Source organism: Homo sapiens, chromosome 2 (genome assembly GCF_000001405.40).
Source record: "Homo sapiens chromosome 2, GRCh38.p14 Primary Assembly".
Lineage (NCBI taxonomy): Eukaryota > Metazoa > Chordata > Mammalia > Primates > Hominidae > Homo > Homo sapiens.
The window spans coordinates 197,048,514-197,074,213 of NC_000002.12; the positions used below are offsets into that span (position 1 = coordinate 197,048,514).

The window sequence follows — 25,700 nt, forward strand, 5'->3', positions numbered from 1 at the left end:
TGAACTCATCCTTTTTTATGGCTGCATAGTATTCCATGGTGTATATGTGCCACATTTTCTTAATCCAGCCTATCATTGATGGGCATTTGGGTTGGTTCCAAGTCTTTGCTATTGTGAATAGTGCCGCAATAAACATACACGTGCATGTGTCTTTATGACAGCATGATTTATAATCCTTTGGCTATATACTCAGTAATGGGATTGCTGGGTCAAATGGTATTTCTAGTTCTAGATCCTTGAGGAATGCCACACTGTCTTCCACATGGTTGAACTAATTTACACTCCCAACAGTGTAAAAGCGTTCCTATTTCTCCACATCCTCTCCAGCATCTGTTCTTTCCTGACTTTTTAATGATTGCCATTCTAACTGGAGTGGGATGGTATCTCATTGTGGTTTTGATTTGCATTTCTCTGATGACCAGTGATGATGAGCATTTTTTAATGTGTCTGTTGGCTGCATAAATGTCTTCTTTGGAGAAGTGTCTGTTCATATCCTTTAGCCACTTTTTGATGGGGTTTTTTTTTCTTGCAAATCTGTTGATGTTCTTTGTAGATTCTGGATATTAGCCCTTTGTCAGATGGGTAGATTGCAAAAATTTTCTCCCATTCTGTAGGTTGCCTGTTCACTCTGATGGTAGTTTCTTTTGCCGTGCAGAAGCTCTTTAGTTTAATTAGACCCCATTTGTCTATTTTGGCTTTTCTTGCCATGCTTGTGGTGTTTTAGACATGAAGTCCTTGTTCATGCCTATGTCCTGAATGGTATTGCCTAGGTTTTCTTCTAGGGTTTTTATGGTTTTAGGAATAGACCTATTTTCATATAAACTTTCATTAAAAATTTGCCATCTTCTAATAATTTGTGTGCAAAGGATTTTTCCATAACATTTACAAGTTCCCAGGATACCACAATGGAGGGTAACTGGAGACTTCTGAATATATACACGGTAGCAAGAAATCCTTGTTTTACCCTCCAATAACACCTACACAATCAGACACTAATATTTAAGATCTATACTGTGGAGGAAACACATTCTCATTACTCAACTTTCACATTTTCACAGCAAATATGCCTCATATTTTCATGTTTTGTATATTATTTAGGATAACCAGATGGTTTTCTGAATCTCTACTGTATGATTTTTTTTTTTAATTTTAGAAACAGGGTCTTGATATATTGCCCAGGCTGGACTTGAACTCCTGGACTGAAGTGACCCTCCAGTCTCAGCCTCCTGAGAATCTAGGATTTACAGGCATGAATCACCATGCCCAGCTCTACCTTAAGAATTTGACCTTATCAGTGATTTTAATTAAAGGAAGAAAGAAGATTCCTGGGGTACCTTTTCAGTTTTAACACATATTACTCTTCCTTCTAAGCTAATCCAATGATCTCTCTTTTTAATCTTGGCCAAGACACCCCTTGGCCACTGTATTAGTCCATTCTCACACTGCTATCAAGAAATACCTAAGACTGGGTAATTTATAAAGAAAATGGCTTTAACTGGCTCGAAGTTCCACAGGCTGTACAAGAAGCATGAGGCTGGCATCTGCTCAGCTTCTGGGGTGGCTTCAGGAACTTACAATCATGGCAGAAGGAAAAGGGGGCACCAGAACTTCATACGGCTGGAGCAGGAGAAAGAGAGAAGGGGGATAGGCTACACACCTTTAAATGACCAGCTCTCATAAGAACACCCTCACTATCACAATGACAACACCAAGGGGGATAGTGCTAAACCATTCATGAGAAACTGCTCTCATGATCCAATCGCCTCCCACCAGGCCCCACCTCCAACACTGACCATTACAATTGAACACGAGATTTGAGTGGGGACACATATCCAAATCACATCAACCATCAATAACGAAGCATTCTACTTCTTCCCTATTTCAAATTCACAATATCATTGTTTTTTGTTTTTGCTTTTTTTTTTTTGAGGCAGAGTCTCATTCTGCCACCCAGGCTGGAGTGCAGGGGTGTGATCTCGGCTCACTGCAGCCTCCACCTCCTGGGTTCAAGCAATTCTCCTGCCTCAGCCTCCTGAGTAGCCAGGATTACAGGTGCCCACTATCACGCTCAGCTAATTCTTGTATTTTCAGTGGAGACAGGGTTTCATCATATTGTCCAGGCTGGTCTTGAACTCCTGACCTCAAGTGATCCACCCACCTTGGCCTCCCAAAGCGCTGGCATTACAGGTGTGAGCCATCACGCCTGGCCTAAAATTCACAATATCTTTTATTGCAATCAAAACTTTCCCCCTCAGAAAATTAGTTATTGGGCTAATTAAATTATATTACTGTTACCTTCTGTTGGTAAGCCGTCAGGTTATTTTTTGAAAGTTTTACTTACAGAGCATATAAATTACCCTTGGTTATTCTCAGCTGTGATTGAGTTCTGTGAAAGCATAGTACCCTAGTACCCTGGGATATCTCTACATGTGAAATTATTCAAATGTCTCCCTTACTTTTTTTTTTTTTTTTTGAGACAGGCTCTGTTGCCCATGCTGCAGTGCAGTGGCACAATTATGGCTCATTTCAGCCTTGACCTCCTGGGCTCAAGTGATCCTCCCACCTCAGCCTCCCAGGTAGCTGGGACTACAGGCACACACCACCATGTCCAGCTAATTTTTGTATTTTTTAGAGACGGGGTTTCGCCGTGTTGCCCAGGCTGGTCTCGAACTCCATGGCTCAAGGGATCTGCCTGCCTTGGCCTCCCAAAATGCTGGAATTACAGGCATGAGCCACCATGCCTGGCTATCCTTTCTTATCACTTTTAAGGTGCTGATGACTCACACACAATAGAGCCCAACCTTCTCAAAACTGTAATTCTCTACCAAATACAGTCACTAGGAGGTACCAGCTTGGTTAAATCAGAATACATCTTCATTTACTCATTCATTTATTTTAGAGAGAGGGTCTTGTTCTGTCACCCAGGCTGGAGTGCAGTGGCACAATCATAGCTCACTGCACTCTCAAACTCCTGGGCTCAAACAATCCTCCTGCTTCAGCCTCCTGAGTAGCTAGGACTATAGGTGTTACAGGTGCACAACACACACCCAGCTTATTTTTTAATTTTTATTTTTTGCTCTCCACATGTGCCTTCTGAATCACTTAATAGTAACTTTGTTGAAGAGATAAATTAACAGTACTAGCTTAGAGTCCCAGCTGTATCTCACTTATAAATAAGGGTCTGCTTTATCTTATTGTCACCACTGAGATGCTAATACTATTCTCTAGGGCAGAGATTCTCAACCAGGGCATTGTAACCCCTAGGGGACATTTGGCAGTGTCTGGAGTAAAAACGTTAAGTGGGGTGCTGGTTGTTAGTAGCACCTAGTGGGTAGAGGCCAGCATGTTATTAAGCCTCCTATAATGCCAAGATAGCCCCCCACAACAAAGAATTATCCTGTTCAAGATGTTAATAGTACCAAGGTTGAGAAATCCTGCTTTAAGGAAATAAAAGTAGATTGAAAAATTATTCCCGTTTAAACTTCGGGGTTACCATCCGGGCAGTGCAGAGCTCTGACTTTGAGCTTCATAATAGGAAGATAAGTTGCCAAGCAGAAGCCCTGTGATGGGAGTACCCCAATATATTCTCATAAAGGAATTTAGTCAACATGGACCCACTGGTGTGTAGACCAGGTTCCAGGGAATAGTGTAACCATCAACTTGATAGTGTTCATAGCTAGTGAGAAACCCATCCTTCACGTTTAATTTGACTGCATAGAAAATTTGTGAGTTGAATGGAGAATAAAATAGACAACAGATGTTAACCAAACCATCTAAATAACTTTACGAATAGCCTTTCTTGATCGATTTTTAAAATCTCTTCTTGTTGGGGAAGTGTTGGGCTTGGAGGATGAAGTGCAATAAATACCTTCCGTGTTGTGACATATAAGAAAACCTCTAGCCATTTTTAGATTTTAATCATCTTACCCACATTACAGATGTAGGCTGTTTGGCAGAGGCTCAGAGGAAAGAGTGTTATCAGTCCTCAGCCATCTAATTACTTACCTTAGAGAAAATTAGGCAATGTTCCAAGTCTACAGAAGACTCATGTTCTGTTGGGAGTTACTAATTACAAGCAGACCTAAGAAGCATTAATTTGTTTTGGTAATCATGCCAGGGTGTATATAGCTCTGCCAAATAATACGGGAAGTAAAGACTGGGGAGAAGGTGAGCTGCTCGCCTCAGCTGGTAAAAGAGGGATTAAAACCAGATGGCCTCAATTCGTCTCTTTTAGCCAAGCTCTAAACAAAATATTCCTTGTGCTGAAGTTTAAATTAAATTGATGCCTGACTGCCCCACTCCTAATAATCTAAAATAATTCTGTCTTTTAAAAATAATTTCCTGTTTTGCTGTTTTTTTTAAGAACTTGAGATAGGCTGGGTGTGGTGGCTCATGCCTCTAATCCCAGCACTTTGGGAGGCCAAGGTGGGCAGATCACCTGAGGTCAGGAGTTTGAGACCAGCCTGGCCAAAACAGTGAAACCCCCACCTCTACTAAAAATACAAAAATTAGCCAGGCATAGTGGTGCGTGCCTGTAGTTCCAGCTACTCAGGAGGCTGAGGCAGGAGAATTGCTTGAACCCAGGAGGTGGAGGCTGTGGTGAGCCGAGATCGCACCACTGCACTCCAGCCTTGGCAACAGAGCGAGATTCTGTCTCAAAAAACAAAACAAAAAAAGAACTTGAGATAGTTAAAAGTTACTCTGACACACACCCACACCCACATCCATTTGCGTACACAAGAAAAAAGACTGTGAGAAAATAAACCAGAATGGAAACAGTAGTTATGTCTGGATGGTGGGATCATAGGGGATTTCTATTTTCTTTTTATATTTCTATGATGTTTCCACAATTTTTACAATTAAGCACAGATAATTTTTATAATCAGAAAACAACCTGAAATAGGGCAGTTATTTATACCCATTCTGTCTTTCTATCCCATTCTCTAATTATAATTCACTTCTACCTACACTGATATCCTTCTAAAAAAAAATGGACTTTTGCTCTTGTTGCCCAGGTTGGAGTGCAATGGTATGATCTCGGCTCTTTGTAACCTCTGTCTCCTGGGTTCAAGTGATTCTCCTGCCTCAGCCTCCCGAGTAGCTGGGATTACAGGTGCCCACCACCATGCCCATCTAATTTTGTATTTTTAGTAGAAACAGGGTTTCACCATGTTGGCCAGGCTGGTCATGAACTCCTCACCTCAGGTGATCCACCCTCCTTGGCCTCCCAAAGTGCTGGGATTACAGGCCGGAGCCACTGTGCCTGGCCCACTGATCTCCTTTAAATATTGATATGGCTATTTATGCTGGAAAAGGTAAATAACCAGCCATAATACTAATCAAATCAAAATCTCACCCATTATTACCTACTTATATAATTGGCTGTGTTGCATGTTGCTAATGGGTAACATGTTAACCTTTTATTCAAGAACTAATTTATCAAAGGACTTCTCACATTGTATCTCTAAGGATAAGTACACATATTCTTATATTCTGGCAAGGTACAGTTCAAAGAAAAAGACAAAGGAGGAGAATAGATATCAGGTCACAACCTGGCCGGTTATAGGACATATTGAAGATACAAGGCTCAAACCTTGAAAAATATCTGAAATATAATTACATTTATGCTCAATGTCTAAACTTATATGTAATGTAAACACTTAATGAAATTCTTAGGTTGGTAATATAGAATACTTGATGTTGGCCCATGTGAAGCACAAATATTTCTATAGTATGTGAAATAACATAAGCTTACCTAAATTTATGATCAACAAAGAACTGAGAGAAACGGTTTGTTTTGCTATAATACTAAGAAAACTCAAGCAACTGAACTTATGCATATGAAAGCAGGAGTTGATAACTCAACTTCCAAGAAAAAAAAAATCATCAACTATTTTAGGTTCAAAGGCAGAGCCATACCATACATTTACAGATGTCACAATTGAAAGGAAACATGTCCCCTTAAAATTAAAGTCTATATAGTTAAACAAAAGACAATAAAGTGCCTGTAGAAGCACAAAATAAAGAAATTCCCTGTACATACCACTCAGCTAGTGAGGCTGTCTTGATATTAGCCAGTAAGTGAGAAATAACTTATGCTCACAGTGATCCTGGTAGCAGGTAAGTGATCTCGTCCACTAGCTATTTCCAGTTCCAACTTGTTAACCACTGGGGAATTCCTGTTTGATTTATGACACTTTTCTGATGAGTATAAGGCCATGAGAATATTTGCAGGGTTCTTTTAGAATAATAATCCTAGTAACTCTTTGGCTAAAGCACCATTTGCAGACTAGTTTCTGTATGGATGCCATGGTAGTGAATGTTTAGAGGCCATAGAATATGGGAGAGATATGGTCCCAGGTGGCATTAGCCCAAGGTAAATTGAGGAAAAGAGGCAGTTATTTGGACCAATAGGCTCTCATCCATTCCATGCTCTTACACTGGCCTGTAGCTGCTCAAATCTCCCTCACAGAGCAAAACTTACCTGTTCTATTTCTCATTCTCTAAAGCCCTTTGCTCTCCCTGAGCTGAGACCTGTGATGGATTTCTAACCTATAACACTGTAAGATAATGAATTTGTGTTCTTTTAACCTGCTCAATTTATGGCAATTTATTATGGCAGCAATGGAACACTAACACACACATTGTAGTTCTAATTTGCATTTCCTTGATGACTATTAAAGCTGAATACTTTTTTCACATGTTTATAAATACTTGGACATCCTCTTGTGAAGTGCCTGTTCAAGTTTTTTGCCCATTTTTCTATTGGGTTATCTATTTTTTTCTTATTGGCTTTTAAGGTTTCTTTATATGTTCTGTAGGAGTTCTTCATATATTCTGGATACAAGACCTTTTTCATATATATGTATTGCACTCTGAAGCTTGCCTTTGTTCTCTCTTAATGGTGCCTTTTAATGGACAAAGCTTTTAACGTTAATAGAGTCCAATATATCCAGTTATTCCTTTTGGTTCATTAATTTTGCATCTTATTAAAAAATCTTTTTCTGTGAGTCATGAAGATGTTCTCTTACGCTTACTTCTAAAAACATTATTGTTGTACCTTTCACGTATAGATCTGCAATCCATCTTGAATTCAGTTTTGTATATGGTAAAAGAATATTCATTTTCCTCCATATACATATTTATTAACCTAGCACTATTTGGTGAAAAGATAATTTTCTCTACTGAACTACTATGCACCTTTATCATTAATCAGGATACCACATATGTGTGGATCCATTTTTCAACTCCCTATTCTGTTCTTTTGATTAGTTCATCTATGTTTGCCCTAATACCATACTGTTTTTCTCAACTCTTTATTCTGTTCTTTTGATGAGTTCATCTATCTTTGCTCTAATACCATACTGTTTTCATTACTATAGCTTTTTTGTTGTTGGGACAGGGTCTTGCTATGTCACCAGGCTGGAGTACAGGAGTGCTATCATAGCTCACTGTAACCTCTAACTCCTGGGCTCAAGTGATCCTCTCACCTCAGCTCCAGAGTAAGTAGGACTACAGATGTGCCACCATGCCTGGCTAATTTTAAATTCTTTTCTAGAGACAGGGTCTCACTGTATTGCCCAGGCTGGCCTCAATTGATACTCCTGCCTCAGCCTCCCAAAGTGCTGGGACATTACTATAGTTTTGTAACAGATTTTTTATATCTGGAAGTCTAAGTCCCCAGGTTGTTCTTTTTCAAGATTGCCTCATATATTCTTTACCCTTTGCATGTCTGTATAAAATTTAAAATCAGCTTTTCAATTTACACACAAAAAAAAAACCCTGCTGGGATTTTGATGAATCTGTAAATGAGTTTCAGAAGAGTTGTTATTTTCACAATCTTTCAATTTATAGAAATAATTATGTTTTTCTACGTATTGAAACAGAGTTACTTTTTCTCCATAATGTATTATAGTTTTATGGTAAGGGCATTTAATACTTTTTATGCTGTTGAAAATTGTAATTTTTTGTAAGTGATATCTTTTTAAAATTTCATTTTCTATTTGATGTTGCTGGGATGTAGAAAATTGATTTTTAGAATATTAACCTTGTATATGCAAAGGGCAAAGTCATTTATTTAGGACATCTTTAATTTTTCTCAATAATGTTTTATAGTTTTAATGGAAATAACATTTTATATAATATTTTAGATGCTAGTAAAAATGATAATATTTTGTAAATGGTATTTTAAAAATTTTTAGTTAAATTTGTTTTTCTTGCTGGTATATAAAATATAGTTGCCTTTTGTATAATGACCTTATACCCTTATCAATCCATCTTGAATTGAGTTTTGTGTAAGATATGAAGTAGAAGGAAAGATTTATTTCTCCTATATGCATATTAAATTAACCTACCACCTATCTTAACATCTGTAACTTAATTACATCTGCAAAATCTCTTCTGCCATGTAAGGTAACATATTCACAGGTTCTAGAGTGTGGACATTATTGGCGGGCCATTCTGTCCACCACACTTTTATTTTTGTCTTCCTCTATTGCACCAGCTAGGACTCTCAGTCCAATACTGAAGAGAAAGGAAGATGGCAGGCATATTTGTCTTGTTCCTACTATAAGGAAAAAAAGCTTTTAATATTTTACCATTTAGTATAATGTTTGCCACAGATATTTTGCAGATGTTCTTTATCAGATTAATGATGTTCCTTTCTACTCCTAGTTAGCTAAGAATTTATCACAAATAGGTATTGAGCTTTACTAAATACTTGCATTGATTGAAATGTTTATCTGATCTTTTTCTATTAATATGGTAAAATACCTTAATTTTCTAATACTGAGCTACCCTTGCATTCCCACTTAGCTGTTACGTATTATCTTTTTGAAGATATATTGTTGCACTTAATTTGCCAATATTTGGTTTAGAATTGTCAGTACTTTTTCATGGAAGTTTTCAGTCTAAAATACATACTTTTTTTTGCTTCTACCTTGGGGAATATAAGCACTGTTTTTGAATTTTTTTTTAAATTAAGAGATCTTTATTCTCCAGAACGTTATAATCTTCTGAAACTTGTCCATATTGATCCAACCATATAACAGCTCTTTTTGCTTCTACCTAAAATTTTCTGACCAGGTATGGTGGCTCTTATCTGTAATCTCAGCACTTTGGGAAGCCAAGGCCAGGAGTTTGAGACAAGCCTGGGCAATACAGCAAGATCCTGTCACTACACAAAATTTTTAAAAGTTAGCCAGGCATGGCGGCACATGCCTGTAATCCCAGATACTCTGGAGGCTGAGGTGGGAGGATCGCTTGAATCCAGGGTTCAAAGGCTGCAGTGAGCTATGATTGCTCTACTGCACTCTAGCCTGGGTGATAGAGTCAGACTCTGTCTCAAAAATCATAAAAAATAAAAATTAAGAAATTAAAAATAAAATAATTTTTTGATGATTTCTTTGTCTGAATAATGGAAATATGTCTAGGGGTTGGCAGTCTTATAGAACACACACATTTCCAACAGAATAATCCATTTTCATTTATTTCCTGCATTTCTGCCAGCTCACAGTATATGCTAAATCTGTCAAGATAGGGCTGGATCTATTTTATAGTAAGCAATACCCGGTATACTGTATGTTCTTAATAAATACACAATAACATTAAAAATGAAACCACCAGATGGTGCCACTGTAGGTAATAGTCAGCTTGTTAATTCCAACAGTAAAGAATGTTTTCTTTTAAGCACTATGTGAAAAAAATTTATTGAGATTGCCATTACTGCACATACTAATAATCATCTACTGCTTCACTCCATGCCTGACACCGCAGGTCCCCAAAGTCACCAAATGTTCAAATCAATATTGCTTGAAGTTAGAAAAGCACTGGAGTTGAATTGGAGGATTCACAGAGGTGTTCTCCCCGCATTTAGGCTGTGAATCTTTTTTTTTTTTTTTTAGCAGTGACTTGTTACTGCTCTGTGTTCCACGAATTAAAGCCTTTTTAAATAGAGAAGGGACGTTATACAAGATGAGGAAAAAATAATAGATAAGTTTAAGAAGATCAGAAACTTATAGTTGATGTCAGCTGTCCTAATTTTTCACCTTCCAGAGCATTATGAGTTCACTGAAACAATGTGAATGGTATCTATAAGAGCTTTGACTATTAGAGTCTTGATATAAGTCTGAGGCCTAATCACTACTACAAGTCTGTATCCAAGATAAAAAGGAAGCAGGTCTCCTGCATTTCATTCTATTTAAAATGCATTTAGTCTCCTGCCCATTATCCACATTTGTTAATAACAGTTCTCATCTGAGGGCTAACTCAGTTGAAGTCCTGCACTGCAAAATACTTGACTGCATTATGTGACAGGCACATTGGAATGGTGACAAGCAGCCAACCCTATAAAATACTCCAGAATGATGGGTGTTACATCTGATCAATTCCACTTGCTAAGCATATACAGTTCTTGCACATTATCAGGAAAAACTATAATACTGGCCTCACGTTTCCATGGTGACTTGTGAGAGCTATTCTTAAATTTAAGAGTTACCTCTTTTAATCAACAATAATTTTCATCTAGATGATATTCCCAGGCTACCCTGAATTATATTATCATGGTGGTAATTTACTTTCTGTCTCAGCTCAAGGTAAAATTTATTTGCCTAGGGCCAGAGAGAGTAGAGGGGTAGGGGTGGGTTGGAAGGGCATGTAGCAGCTGAGGGACATGGGAATGATAAAAATTGCTTAAAAAGGAAACAAAGCAGGTAACAGATTTGAATACAAAAAAGTATTAACTTTTCAATAATTTTAAAAAATTTGCAATGGAAAAAGTACATTTTTCTTACCTGCTCTTTGTCCTCACAAAAGCTGTACAAATCAACATAAATATGCTTTGGGACAGCATTTTTAATGTTAAATTACAGCATAAATTTCTCACTTTAAGCATCAATTAACATTTTAGTGATTCTAGCCCAGTCAATAAAATATATAACTTTAAAGAAAATTCCTTCTGATCCAATGACAGCTAATCTTGTTGGGATTCTGAAACACTAGCTAAAGACCACAAAGACTACTTCTGGCTAGTGGACATTAAAAGAAGCAGCACAGATTCAAGTAAGTAGGTAAAGAAAGCTGTTATTATTTTAAGCAAAATTAAAACAGATGGGAGAGACAGACACACATGTATTCAGATATGCGCCTGCCTCACATTTAATCTTTTATGAATGGCTGCTCCCAGATGGTGATGTGATTCAGCAATGCAATTTTAGATACACCATCTATTTTCCTTACTTCAATGTACTGTGTCAATTACAACTTTTCCACTTAGTGGCTGATGCAACTATCATCAAAAGAAAAATAAACCATCATGAAAACAGGTTCTCTGATATTTTGAAAACAAGGTGATATTCAACTTGTCAAACCAAGTCCAGACATTTCTCTACACTCTCCATCCTTCAATTCGTTACAGGTTTGGTACTTCTATTCCACATTCACACAAATGGTGAGGTAATGAAACAAGAGACCAACATAACAAACACATTATGCTGATGAGTGTTTGTGAATCTCTCACTAACTGACCCCAGAATGGGACATGCTGTCCCCTAAAGTCTCACAGCGTGTCACCTGTACCTCTTCTAGGACATCATGTTTTATCTTGGATAATGATAAGAATAATAGAAATACAGAATTCTAACAGAGCAACTACTGTATCTTGTCATAGTTATTAACATGCCAACTCCCACTGAGATAGTAAGCTCCCAGATATAGCAGCTTCTTCATCTTTTTAGATCTGGCACATAGCAGTATCCAGCAGATAGAGAAATCAATTAAGATACATTAAATGAATACATAATAACAGTTGCCACTTGTACCTATCATATGCCAGGCACTGTGCTAGATACTTTACTTACATTCCTTTCCTTCCCAGTTTTATTGAGGAGTAACTGACAAGAAAAAATTGCATGTATTTAAGGTGTACAATGTGAGGCTTTGATATATGTGTACATTGTGAAATGATTACCACAAACAAACTAATTAATATCCTAATATCCGTCACCTCAGATAGTTACCTTGTGTGTGTGCGGTGAGAACACTTTCTACTCTCAGCAAATTTCAAGAATACAATGCAGTATTATTAACTATAGTCCTCATGCTGTACGTTAGATCTTCAGAACTTATTCATTCTGCAAACGGAAACTTCATATTCTTTGACCAACATCTCCCCATTTCCCCCTAGACCTCAGCTCCTGGCAACCCCCATTCTACTCTCTGTTTTTATGAGTTCAACTTTTTTAGATTCCACAGGTAAAGTCAGTTCATGCAGTATTTGTCTGACTGGCTTATTTCACTTAGTGTAACGTCTTCCAGGTCGTACATGTTGTTATAAATGGCAGGATTCCCTTCTGTTTTAAAGCTGAATGACTTCCCAGTCTCTGTGTGTCTCTGTGTGTGTACCGCAGTATCCATCTATCAATGAACACTTAGGTTGCTTCTACAGCTTGGCTATTGTGAATAGTGCTGCAGTGAACATGAGAGTGTAGATACGTCTTTGAGATACTGATTTCATTTCCTTTAGATATATATCTGGAAGATATGTATCTGGACTATATGGTAGTCCTATTTTTAATTTTTTAGGATTTACTTACATTCTTCCACTAATGCTATAAACAACCTAACCCCCGTTTGACAGATTAGACAAGCTATGAAGGCTCATGGAAGTGAAGTAAAATGCTTACAGATCTTGTAGCTAGGTAATTGTGGGGCTGGCATTCCAAACCAGACCTGTATAATGTGGAAGTCTTTGAGCTTTCAAGCATATCACACAGCCCCTCCTCTGGCCGAACTCCCATAAGCTCAGGTCTGAGTTGTCGGGTGGGGACTGCAGGAGGTGGTAGAGTGCAGACCCCATACCCGGGCAGTGACACTGGCAGCCCCTGCACTGTCATGAGTGGGCAGCGATTGGAGCAGTGTCTTTACTGGACACCTGTGACCAAACAGCCTTTGGGGTGTAAACAGTAATGGAAGATACCACTACAGAAAGTAAAAACAGGAGAAGAAGAAAATAGTGGGTGTCCTGTGTTCACCATGAGAAGTGCGTAGAGCTCATGGGAAACATGCTGAAAGCCCTTCCGAAGGAATTGGAGCAGAGCCAGAGCTCCTGCAGAATATGGGGGCAGGGCCAAAGAAATAACTGGGGAGTAGTTATTATAATCCTGTTATTGCCCTATGGAGAACTAGGAAATGTGGGTGATAAGTCAATATTAATGTGGCATATTTTTTACCTCCCAAACTAGGTTATAATCTCCTTGAAAGTAATATCCATGCCTTTTTTTTTTTTTCTGAGGCAGAGTCTCACTCTATTGTCCAGGCTGGAGTGCAATGGTACAATCTTGGCTCACTGCAACCTCTGCCTTCCAGATTCAAGCAATTCTCCTGCCTCAGCTTCCCAAGTAGCTGGGATTACAGGCATGCGCCACCACTCCCAGCTAATTTTTGTATTTTTAGTAGAGATGGGGTTTCACCATGTTGGTCAGGCTGGTCTTGAACACCTGACCTCGGGTGATCCACCCGCCTCGGCCTCCCAAAGTGCTTGGATTATAGGCGTGAGCCACCACACCCTCCCATGCCTAATATTATTTCTGTGTCAGCCATGGTTCCTAGCACATTTCCCTATAATCCACTCTGTAACTTCAGAAAGCAGCCATCCTAAATTAGGTAGCTAATGTAAGAGAAGCCACACCTTGGAAGTTGTCCTAATGGTCTGCCAGGTCAGTTTTAATGGAGCCTAGGAAAAACAGCACCAGTGGTTAGGGTTTCTCTAGCCCTATCCAGAGGACAGGACTCCTGGATGGGTCACCAAAGGTATTCTGATTGGTATGGCACTGGGTATTGAATAAGAGAGGATACATGAGGTTATCAGAGCTTAAGCGCATTGATTTTTACTCAATTTCTTTGATTTTAATTCTATACTCAGGAAGACAACATCCGATCTTTATTCAGTTTATAAAATTGGATACCCTACTTAGAAGGGACAGTGGGTGCAGCCCACAGAGCATGAGCCCAAGCAGGGCGAGGCATCGCCTCACCCGGGAAGCGCAAGGGGTCAGGGAATTCCCTTTCCTACCCAAGGGAAGCACCTGGAAAATCGGGTCACTCCCACCCTAATACTGCACTTTTCCAACAGTCTTAGCAAATGGCACACCAGGAGATTATATCCTGCACCTGGCTCAGAAGACCCCATGCCCACAAAGCCTCACTCATTGCTAGCATAGCAGTCTAAGATTGAACTGCAAGGTGGCAGCAAGGCTGGGGGAGGGGCGCCTGCCATTACTGAGGCTTGAGTAGGTAAACAAAACAGCCAGGAAGCTCGAACTGGGTGGAGCCCACCACAGCTCAAGGAGGCCTGCCTGCCTCTGTAGACTCCACCTCTGGGGGCAGGGCAAAGCCAAACAAAAGGCAGCAGAAACCTCTGCAGACTTAAATGTCCCTGTCTGACAGCTTTGAAGAGAGTAGTGGTTCTCCCAGCACACAGCTGGAGATCTGAGAATGGACAGACTGCCTCCTCAAGTGGGTCCCTGACCCCCGAGTAGCCTAACTGGGAGGCACCCTCCAGTAGGGGCCGACTGACACCTCATGCGCCTGGGTATCCCTCTGAGACGAAGCTTCCAGAGGAACAATCAGGCAGCAACATTTGCTGTTCAGCAATATTCACTGTTCTGCAGCCCAGGCAAACAGGGGCTGGAGTGGACCTCCAGCAAACTCCAACAGACCTGCAGCTGAAGGTCCTGACTGTTAGAAGGAAAACTAACAAACAGAAAGGACATCCACACCAAAACCCCATCTGTACGTCACCATCATCAAAGACTAAAGGTAGATAAAACCACAAAGATGGGGAAAAAACAGAGCAGAAAAGCTGAAAATTCTAAAAATCAGAGCGTCTCTCCCCCTCCAAAGGAACGCAGCTCCTCGCCAGCAACAGAACAAAGCTGGACGGAGAACGACTTTGACGAGTTGAGAGAAGAAGGCTTCAGATGATCAAACTTCTCCCAGCTAAAGGAGGAAGTTCGAACCCATCGCAAAGAAGCTAAAAACCTTGAAAAAAGATTAGACGAACGGCTAACTGGAAAAACCAGTGTAGAGAAGTCTTTAAATGACCTGATGGAGCTGAAAACCATGGCACAAGAACTACGTGATGAATGCACAAGCTTCAGTAGCCGATTCGATCAACTGGAAGAAACAGTATCAGCGATTGAAGATCAAATGAATGAAATGAAACAAGAAGAGAAGTTTAGAGAAAAAAGAGTAAAAAGAAACGAACAAAGCCTCCAAGAAATATGGGACTATGTGAAAAGACCAAATCTACGTCTGATTGGTGTACCTGAAAGTGACAGGGAGAATGGAACCAAGTTGGAAAACACTGCAGGATATTATCCAGGAGAACTTCCCCAATCTAGCAAGGCAGGCCAACATTCAAATTCAGGAAATACAGAGAACGCCACAAAGATACTCCTCGAGAAGAGCAACTCCAAGACACATAATTGTCAGATTCACCAAAGATGAAATGAAGGAAAAAATGTTAAGGGCAGTCAGAGAGAAACGTCGGGTTACCCTCAAAGGGAAGCCCATCAGACTAACAGCTGATCTCTTGGCAGAAACTCTACAAGCCAGAAGAAAGTGGGGACCAATATTCAACATTCTTAAAGAAAAGAATCTTCAACCCAGAACTTCATATCCAGCCAAACTAAGCTTCATAAGTGAAGGAGAAATAAAATCCTTTACAGACAAGCAAATGCTGAGAGATTTTGTCACCACCAGGCCTGCCCTACAAGAGCTCCTGAAGGAAGCACTAAACATGGAAAGGAACAACCGGTACCAGCCACTGCAAAAACATGACAAATTGTAAAGACCATCAATGCTAGGAAGAAACTGCATCGACTAACGAGCAAAATAACCAGCTAACATCATAATGACAGGATCAAATTCACACATAACAATATTAAGCTTAAACGTAAATGGGCTAAATGCTCCAATTAAAAGACAGAGACTGGCAAATTGGATAAAGAGTCAAGATCCATCAGGGTGCTGTATTCAGGAGACTCATCTCATGTGCAGAGACACACACAGGCTCAAAATAAAGGGATGGAGGAAGATCTACCAAGAAAATGGAAAACAAAAAAAAGGCAGGGGTTGCAATCCTAGTCTTGGATAAAACAGACTTTAAACCAACAAAGATCAAAAGAGACAAAGAAGGCCATTACATAATGGTAAAGGGATCAATTCAACAAGAAGAGCTAACTATCCTAAATATATATGCACCCAATACAGGAGCACCCAGATTCACAAAGCAAGTCCTTAGAGATCTGCAAAGAGACTTAGACTCCCACACAACAATAATGGGAGACTTTAACACCCCACTGTTAACATTAGACAGATCAACGAGACAGAAAGTTAAAAAGGATATCCAGGAATTGAACTCAGCTCTGCACCAAGCAGACCTAATAGACATCTACAGAACTCTCCACCCCAAATCAACAGAATATACATTTTTCTCAGCACCACATCGCACTTATTCCAAAATTGACCACATAGTTGGAAGTAAAGCACTCCTCAGCAAATGTAAAAGAACAGAAATTCCATCAAACTGTCTCTCAGACCATAATGCAATCAAACTAGGACTCAGGATTAAGAAACCCACTCAAAACCACTCAACTACATGGAAACTGAACAACCTGCTCCTGAATGACTACTGGGTACATAACGAAATGAAGGCAGAAATAAAGATGTTCTTTGAAACCAATGAGAACAAAGACACAACATACCAGAATCTCTGGGACACATTTAAAGCAGTGTGTAGAGGGAAATTTATAGCACTAAATACCCACAAGAGAAAGCAGGAAAGATCTAAAATTGACTAACATCACAGTTAAAAGAACTAGAGAAGCAAGAGCAAACACATTCAAAAGCTAGCAGAAGGCAAGAAATAACTAAGATCAGAGCAGAACTGAAGGAGATAGAGACATAAAAAATCCCTTCAAAAAATCAATGAATCCAGGAGCTGGTTTTTTGAAAAGATAACACAATTGATAGACCGCTAGCAAGACTAATAAAGAAGAAAAGAGAGAAGAATCAAATAGATGAAATAAAAAATGATAAAGGGGATATCACCACCAATCCCACAGAAATACAAACTATCATCAGAGAACACTATAAACACCTCTACGCAAATAAACTAGAAAATCTAGAAGAAATGGATAAATTCCTGGACATATACACCCTCCCAAGACTAAACCAGGAAGAAGTTGAATCCATGACTGAACTCTGAAATCAAGGCAACAATTAATAGCCTACCAACCAAAAAAAGTCCAGGACCAGATGGATTCACAGCTGAATTCTACCAGAGGTACAAGGAGGAGCTGGTACCATTCCTTCTGAAACTGTTCCAATCAACAGAAAAAGAAGGAATCCTCCCTAACTCATTTTACGAGGCCAGCATCATCCTGATACCAAAGCCTGGCAGAGACACAACAAAAAAAGAGAATTTTAGACCAATATCCCTGACAAACATCAATGTAAAAATCCTCAATAAAACACTGGCAAACCGAATCCAGCAGCACATCAAAAAGCTTATTCACGATGATCAAGTGGGCTTCATCCCTGGGATGCAAGGCTGGTTCAGTATACACAAATCAATAAACATAATCCAGCATATAAACAGAACTAAAGACAAAAACCACATGATTATCTCAATAGATGCAGAAATGGCCTTTGACAAAATTCAACAGACCTTCATGCTAAAAACTCTCAATAAATTAGGTATTGATGGGACATATCTCAAAATATTAAGAGCTATTTATGACAAACCCACAGCCAATATCATACTGAATGGGCAAAAACTGGAAGTATTCCCTTTGAAAACTGGCACAAGACAGGGATGCCCTCTCTCACCACTCCTATTCAACACAGTGTTGGAAGTTCTGGCCAGGGCAATCAGGCAGGAGAAAGAAATAAAGGGTATTCAATTAGGAAAACAGGAAGTCAAATTGTCTCTGTTTGCAGATAACATGATTGTATATTTAGAAAACCCCATCGTCTCAGCCCAAACTCTCCTTAAGCTGATAAGCAACTTCAGCAAAGTCTCAGGATACAACATCAATGTGCAAAAATCACAAGCATTCTTATACACCAATAACAGACAAACAGAGAGCCAAATCATGACTGAACTCCCATTCACAATTGGAGAATAAAACACCTAGGAATCCAACTTACAAGGGATGTGAAGGACCTCTTCAAGCAGAACTACAAACCACTGCTCAATGAAATAAAAAAGGACACAAACAAATGGAAGAACATTCCATGCTCATGGGTAGGAAGAATCAATATCGTGAAAATGGCCATAATGCCCAAGGTAATTTATAGATTCAATGCCATCCCCATCAAGCTACCAATGACTTTCTTCACAGAATTGGTAAAAACTACTTTAAAGTTCACATGGAACCAAAAAAGAGCCCGCGTTGCCAAGACAATCCTAAGCCAAAAGAACAAAGCTGGAGGCATCATGCTACCTGACTTCAAACTATACTACAAGGCTACAGTAACCAAAACAGCATGGTACTGGTACCAAAACAGAGATACAGACCAATGGAACAGAACAGAGCCCTCAGAAATAATACCACACATCTACAACTATCTGATCTTTGACAAACCTGACAAAAACAAGCAATGGGGAAAGGATTCCCTATTTAATAAATGGTGCTGGGAAAACTGGCTAGCCATATGTAGAAAGCTGAAACTGGATCCCTTCCTTACATCTTATACAAAAATTAATTCAAGATGGATTAAAGACTTAAATGTTAGACCTAACACCTAAAAACCCTAGAAGAAAACCTAGGCAATGCCATTCAGGACATAGGCCTGGGCAAGGACTTCATGTCTAAAACACCAAAAGCACCATCAGAGTGAACAGGCAACCTACAACATGGGAGAAAATTTTCGCAACCTACTCATCTGACAAAGGGCTAATATCCAGAATCTACAATGAACTCAAACAAATTTACAAGAAAAAAACAAACAACCCCATCAAAAAGTGGGCGAAGGACATGAACAGACACTTCTCAAAAGAAGACATTTATGCAGCCAAAAAACACATGAAGAAATGCTCATCATCACTGGCCATCAGAGAAATGCAAATCAAAACCACTATGAGATATCATCTCACACCAGTTAGAATGGCAATCATTAAAAAGTCAGGAAACAACAGGTGCTGGAGAGGATGTGGAGAAATAGGAACACTTTTACACTGTTGGTGGGACTGTAAACTAGTTCAACCATTGTGGAAGTCAGTGTGGCGATTCCTCAGGGATCTAGAACTAGAAATACCATTTGACCCAGCCATCCCATTACTGGGTATATACCCAAAGGACTATAAATCATGCTGCTATAAAGACACATGCACACGTATGTTTATTGTGGCACTATTCACAACAGCAAAGACTTGGAACCAACCCAAATGTCCGACAATGATAGACTGGATTAAGAAAATGTGGCACATATACACCATGGAATACTATGCAGCCATAAAAAATGATGAGTTCATATCCTTTGTAGGGACATGGATGAAATTGGAAACCATCATTCTCAGTAAACTATCGCAAGAACAAAAAACCAAACACCGCATATTCTCACTCATAGGTGGGAATTGAACAATGAGATCACATGGACACAGGAAGGGGAATATCACACTCTGGGGACTGTGGTGGGGTCGGGGGAGGGGGGAGGGATAGCATTGGGAGATATACCTAATGCTAGATGACACATTAGTGGGTGCAGCGCACCAGCATGGCACATGTATACATATGTAACTAACCTGCACAATGTGCACATGTACCCTAAAACTTAGAGTATAATAAAAAAAATAAAAAAAAGAAAAAAATAAAAAAAAAATAAAAATAAAATAAAAAAAAATAAAACACCAAAAGCAATGGCAACAAAAGCCAAAATTGACAAATGGGATCTAATTAAACTAAAGAGCTTCTGCACAGCAAAAGAAACTACCATCAGAGTGAACAGGCAACCTACAGAATGGGAGAAAAATTTTGCAATCTATTCATCTAAGGGCTAATATCCAGAATCTACAAAGAACTTAAACAAATTTACAAGAAAAAAACAAACAACCCCATCAAAAAGTGGGCAAAGGATATGAACAGACAGAAAACATTTATGCAGCCAACAGACATGTGAAAAAATGCTCATCATCACTGGCCATCAGAGAAATGCAAATCAAAACCACAATGAGATACCATCTCACACCAGTTAGAATGGCAGTCATTAAAGTCAGGAAACAACAGGTGCTGGAGAGGATGTGGAGAAATAAGAACACTTTTACACTGTTGGTGGGACTGTAAACTAGTTCAACCATTGTGGAAGACAGTGTGGCGATTCCTCGAGGATCTAGAACTAAAAATACCATTTGACCCAGCCATCCCATTACTGGGTATATACCCAAAGGATTATAAATCATGCTGCTATAAAGACACATGCACACATATGTTTATTGTGGCACTATGCACAACAGCAAAGACTTGGAACCAATCCAAATGTCCATCAATGATAGACTGGATTCAGAAAATGTGGCACACATACACCATGGAATACTATGCAGCCATAAAAAAGGATGAGTTCATGTCCTTTGTAGGGACATGGATGAAGCTGGAAACCATCATTCTCCACAAACTATCACAAGGAGAAAAAAACCAAACACTGCATGTTCTCACTCATAGGTGGGAATTGAACAATGAGAAAACTTGGACACAGGAAGGGGAACATCACACACCGGGGCCTGTTGTGGGGTGGGGGGAGTGGGGAGGGATAGCATTAGGAGATATACCTAATGTAAATGATGAGTTAATGGGTACAGCATACCAACTTGGCACATGTATACATATGTAACAAACCTGCACGTTGTGCACATGTACCCTAGAACTTAAAGTATAATAAAAAAAAATTGACCTTCTCTTTGCTGAATTGCTTTTCCACCTTTGTTAAAAATCAGTTGGGCATATTTTTGTGGGTATATGTCTAAGCTGTCTATTCTGTTCCATTGTGCCTATCACTCTGCCAATACTTCAGTCTTGATTACTGGGTAAGATATTAACAAGATTGTCAGGTATTGACACAGTAGTATAAAATATATATTATATATTCAAGCTATATAATAATTCTTGAAATTAGGTAGACTGATTTTTCCCACATTGTTCTTTTTCAGAATTGTGTTAGCTTTCTAGTTCTTTTGCTATTCCATATAAATTTTAGAAAAATCTTTCATTCGTCTATGAAAACCTTGCTAGAATTTTGATAAGAATTGTGTTAAACCTACAGATTAATTTGGCATCTTCATTATGTTGAGTCTTCTAATCCACGCATACAGAATGTCTCTCCTTTTTTTTTTTTTAGATCTCTGATTTCTTTCATCAGCATTTTGTGGTTTCAACACACGTCTTTTGGATCTAGGACTAAGCACAGAGTTATTGACAGCAATTTTTTGGGGCAGTTGAAAATAATATTGTACTTTTAATTTTGGTATCTACATATTCATTCCTAGTACACAGAAATGCAATTGATTTTTATACGTTTATCTCATATCTTGTGACCTTGATGAACTCACTTATGACTTCTAGGATTTTTTGGTTGATTACTGGGGATTTTCTATGTAGACAATGATGTCATCTGCAAATAGGAACAGTTTTGTTTATTCCTTTCTGATCTGTACACTTTTTATTTCCTTTTCTTCCCTAATTGTTCTGGCTAGAACTTTCAGCACAATGTTGAATAGGAGTGGTATAAGAAGACATCCTTGACTTAGTCTTTTACCGTTAAGTAAATTAGCTGTTCTTTATCAAGTTGTTACATGCTCTTTATCAAGTTGAGGAAGTTCCCCTCTATCTAATATTTCTAGGAGAGTTTTTTGTTGTTGTTGTTGTTGCTTGCTTGTTTTATTGTCTTGAAGTGCTCAATGTTATCAAAAGTGTTTTCTGCATTGGTTGATATAAATCTGATTTTTCTTCTTTAGCCTGTTAATACAGTGAATTACACTGACTGATTTTCAAATATTGAAACAGGCTTGCATCCCTGTAATAAATTCCATTAGTCATGGTATATAATTCTCTGCATGTATCACTGAATTCTATTTGGTAATTTGTAAAGATTTTTGCATTCATGTTCATGAAAGACATTGTGCTCGCTCTCGCTCTCTGTGTGTGTGTGTGTGTCTTTGGTACTTAATATCAAGGTATTACCTTCATAAATGAATTGGAAAGTATTCTCTTGTATTCTATTTTCCAGAAAAGACTGTGTAGAATTATGTTAATTCTTTAAGTATTTGGTAGAATTCTCCAGTGAAATCATCCATGCCTGGAAATTTCTTTAGGGGAAGTTTTAAAATTTAATTTTCTGAATAGTTAAAGGGCTATTCAAATGATCTACTTCATACTGGGTAAATGGTGGTAGTTTGTGTTTTTCAATGAATGAGTCTATTTTATCAAGTTGTCAATGTATGCAGAGTTATTCATAATATTCCTTTATCCTTTTAATATCTGTAAGGTATATGGGGATATCCCCTATTTCATTCCTGATATTGTTAATTTATGTTTCCTCTCTCTTTTTCTTAGCTACACGTTTGTCAATGTTACTGATTTTTCAAAGAACCAGATTTTTGTTTCATTGAATTTCTTCACTGGTTTTCAATTTCATTTATTTCTGCCTCCATCTTTATATCAATTTTCTGCTTATTTTGAGTTTAATTTGCTCTCTCCAGATTCTTGAGGTAGAAGCTTAGATTACTGACTTGAGACTTTCCTCTTTTCTGATGTAACCATTTTGTGCTAAAAATTTCTTTCTCAGCATAATTTAGCTGAGTCCCCAAATTTCACTTTGTTGTACTTTCATTTTCATTCAGTCCAAGATATTTTTTGAATTTCTCTTGAGGCTTTCCTTTTAACTCATGAATTATTTACAAGTCTGGTTTTAATTTCCTAGTGTTGGAGATTTTCCTGGTATCTTTCTGTTATTGATTTCTAGTTTTATCCCATTATGGCTAGAAAACACGCTCTATATGATTTCAATTCTTTTATGTTTTTTGAATTTTGTTTTATGGTTCAAGATATTGCTTATCTTTGTGAATGTTCATGGGCACTTGAACTAAATATGTATTCTCATGTTGCTGGGTAGAGTGTTCTTATTGTTGATCAGATCCTCTTGGTTGATTATGTTATTGAGTTTTTCTATATACTTGACAATTTTCAGTCTCATTGTTCTACCAATTGTTGAGAGAGAGGTGCTAAAGTCTCCCACTATAATTGTGTATTTCTGTTTATCTTTTCAATTCTAACAGTTTTTGCTTCACATATATTGTAGCTCTGTTGTTTGGGGCATACATATTTAGGACACTCTCCTTGAGTGGGGTTCCAACCCTTACTAGGCTGCCTTCCTGACTTCCCTCCTGCGGCCTCAGTGCCAACTGGGCTGCCTTCCTGCTCTGCTCAGGCTTCCCTAGTGGGTTTGTGACTGAGAGGGAGGGAGGGATGGAGGGAGGAAAGAAGGAAGGAAGGAAGGAAGGAAGGAAGGAAGGAAGGAAGGAAGGAAGGAAGGAAAAGGAAGAAAGGAGGAGGGAGGGTAGGGGGAGGAAAGGAGGGTGGGCCAGATTAACTTATTTTTTTGGTTGACTTGTAAACTGCCTTCTCTTTAAAACAAAAAATCTTCCTTTTTCTGACATCACTGAGTCCTTAGAAGTTTCCACATCAGAAGCAATAATTCCTATTCCTTGAACCTCTTAGTGCTCCCTATCCATCTGGAAGAAATTACAGAGAAATGTGTGCACATATGTGTATGTGTGTGTATGTGATGTCTTTATACCAGTTTGACATGTTAGTATAGGTTTTTATTGAAGAAGAAAACATGGAGGACCAGTTGCAATAAAATGAGCTGGTATTGGAAAGTAATCAAATCTAAAGAAAAGTCCAGGCCACAGAAAGGCAAATTTTCATTTCTTTTCTCACCTGCCATCTTCTATGAAATACCTTCCTAACAAACAGGACAGTTGCTATATACTTAAAAATTAGCATTGATGTTTTATCACTAAATAAAGCTTAGTCACTCACAGTGTATTTCACTTGTTCAACAACTTTTGGCACCTGATAAGTGCCTGACAGTATTAGAACCTAATGCCTTATAAGTTGATATTTAAATCCGCAAATGTTTAAAGGATAATAGTTTATTTTTCCTTAGAGCTCAGCATTAATTTTTTCCTGAAACAATGACTAAGTGTTTAGCTATTTACTGAACCAGCGAGTCATGGATATAATCAAATAATACATTTATTCTCTTTTTCCCTATACTAGGTCCGATCTCCTTTATGAGGTTACTTCTTTTCCTGCCACTTCATGCAAAATCTCCAACAAATAATAAAGAGTTCTCTAGGCACTTTAGTTTAAAACATAACTTCATGTCAGCAATCAATACATCTGTTCCAGTATGACAATCACAGACTCCTAACATTGTTAAACTTATTAAAACTCCTTCCCGCCTTCCCCTAAAGACTGAGTGGGTAACGAGACATGGCTGACTTCTCTGTTCCCCAACCTAGGGCTTCTCCTCCTCCTCATCTGCCTCTGCCTCCTCCAGTTCTAAAGGGGATAGGCAAAGGAAGACACATTAGGAGCAGGGACAATGGTCTGACTGGCACCCTTCTGGCAGTGATGTCTTCTGACCAGGCCAGATGTTTACAATTGTCCCTCTCTTAGATGCTGAATTAGGTTCTCCACCATCACTGGGGTGTCTCACCTGCAGTGCCTCTGCCTGGGTGAATGGACCTTCCTGCTGGTAACTTATATTCCCCTCTCCACACTAGGAATCCTGGGTCTCCTGACTCTTCCACGCAGCCTTCCCGAGTGGGATCAAGGAGAACCCCAGGCTAGCTCTGGCCCTTGGCTCACATTTGGACATTGGGAAATATATACTTTGACCCATCATTTCTGAGAGTGGAGTGATTTCCCAAACACAGCCTTCTTCTTATTTAGCTGCCTGGCCAGCAAGTTCTGGTCAGAGCCATTTAGTCTTCAGATTTATCATATACCAGTCTGGCATGCTCCCTAAATTGTGTGGGACACAAATAAGATATCTAAGCAATCTCCCTGAAGCTTCCCTCCCTTAAGGTTGGGGTCAAGAGAAGGCATTCTATCTCCTCCACTATGAGGGGTGGTAGAATTCACAGCAGAGCTAGCTCCAAAGAAGCCTTCTCTCTAATCTCTAACTTCTTGTTCTTTCCAACTGTGACTTTAGAAATGGGGAAGGGGGCCATGAGTTGAAGCACCAGTATCTCACTTTGAAATGTGGAGGCAATGCCCCAGTGTCCTAGGCCCTCAACTGAAGGCAAAACTGAAATGTTCTATTTTAACACATCCTGTTGAATTGTTCTTTCATCAGCTGCCAAATTCATTCATGGTAAAGCCCCCAAAATTTTTTCTGCCACATTACAAAAAAAATGGAACATCTTATCATAAAAAATTGTCTATTCCACTGTTTTGGATATAGATTTACATCCAAATTCTAACTCAAAATTTGTGAACTTATATTCACATCTGAGAGGATGCCAGTGGTATCAAAATATCCATGCTCACCCCCACCCTCGCCCTTAATGAGAGTTCCTCATAGGATTTTATGTTTCTCTCCAACTGAATTAAATAGAAGAAAACACAAGACCAGCA

General features: G+C 38.9%; 1 protein-coding gene across 17 annotated transcripts in view; it reads right to left on the reverse strand.

Moving 5' to 3' along the window:
* Positions 1–25,700, reverse strand: part of ANKRD44 (ankyrin repeat domain 44) — a 343,767-nt gene that overhangs the window by 81,500 nt on the left and 236,567 nt on the right. For 2 of the 17 annotated variants that reach the window (NR_160034.1, XR_923062.3), the window contains exon 17: positions 21,317–21,452. The exons of the other annotated variants lie outside the window; for them this stretch is intronic. The gene's annotated coding sequence lies outside the window, so the exon portion shown is untranslated. The remainder of the gene's footprint in view (positions 1–21,316; positions 21,453–25,700) is intronic. 17 annotated transcript variants of the gene reach the window in all.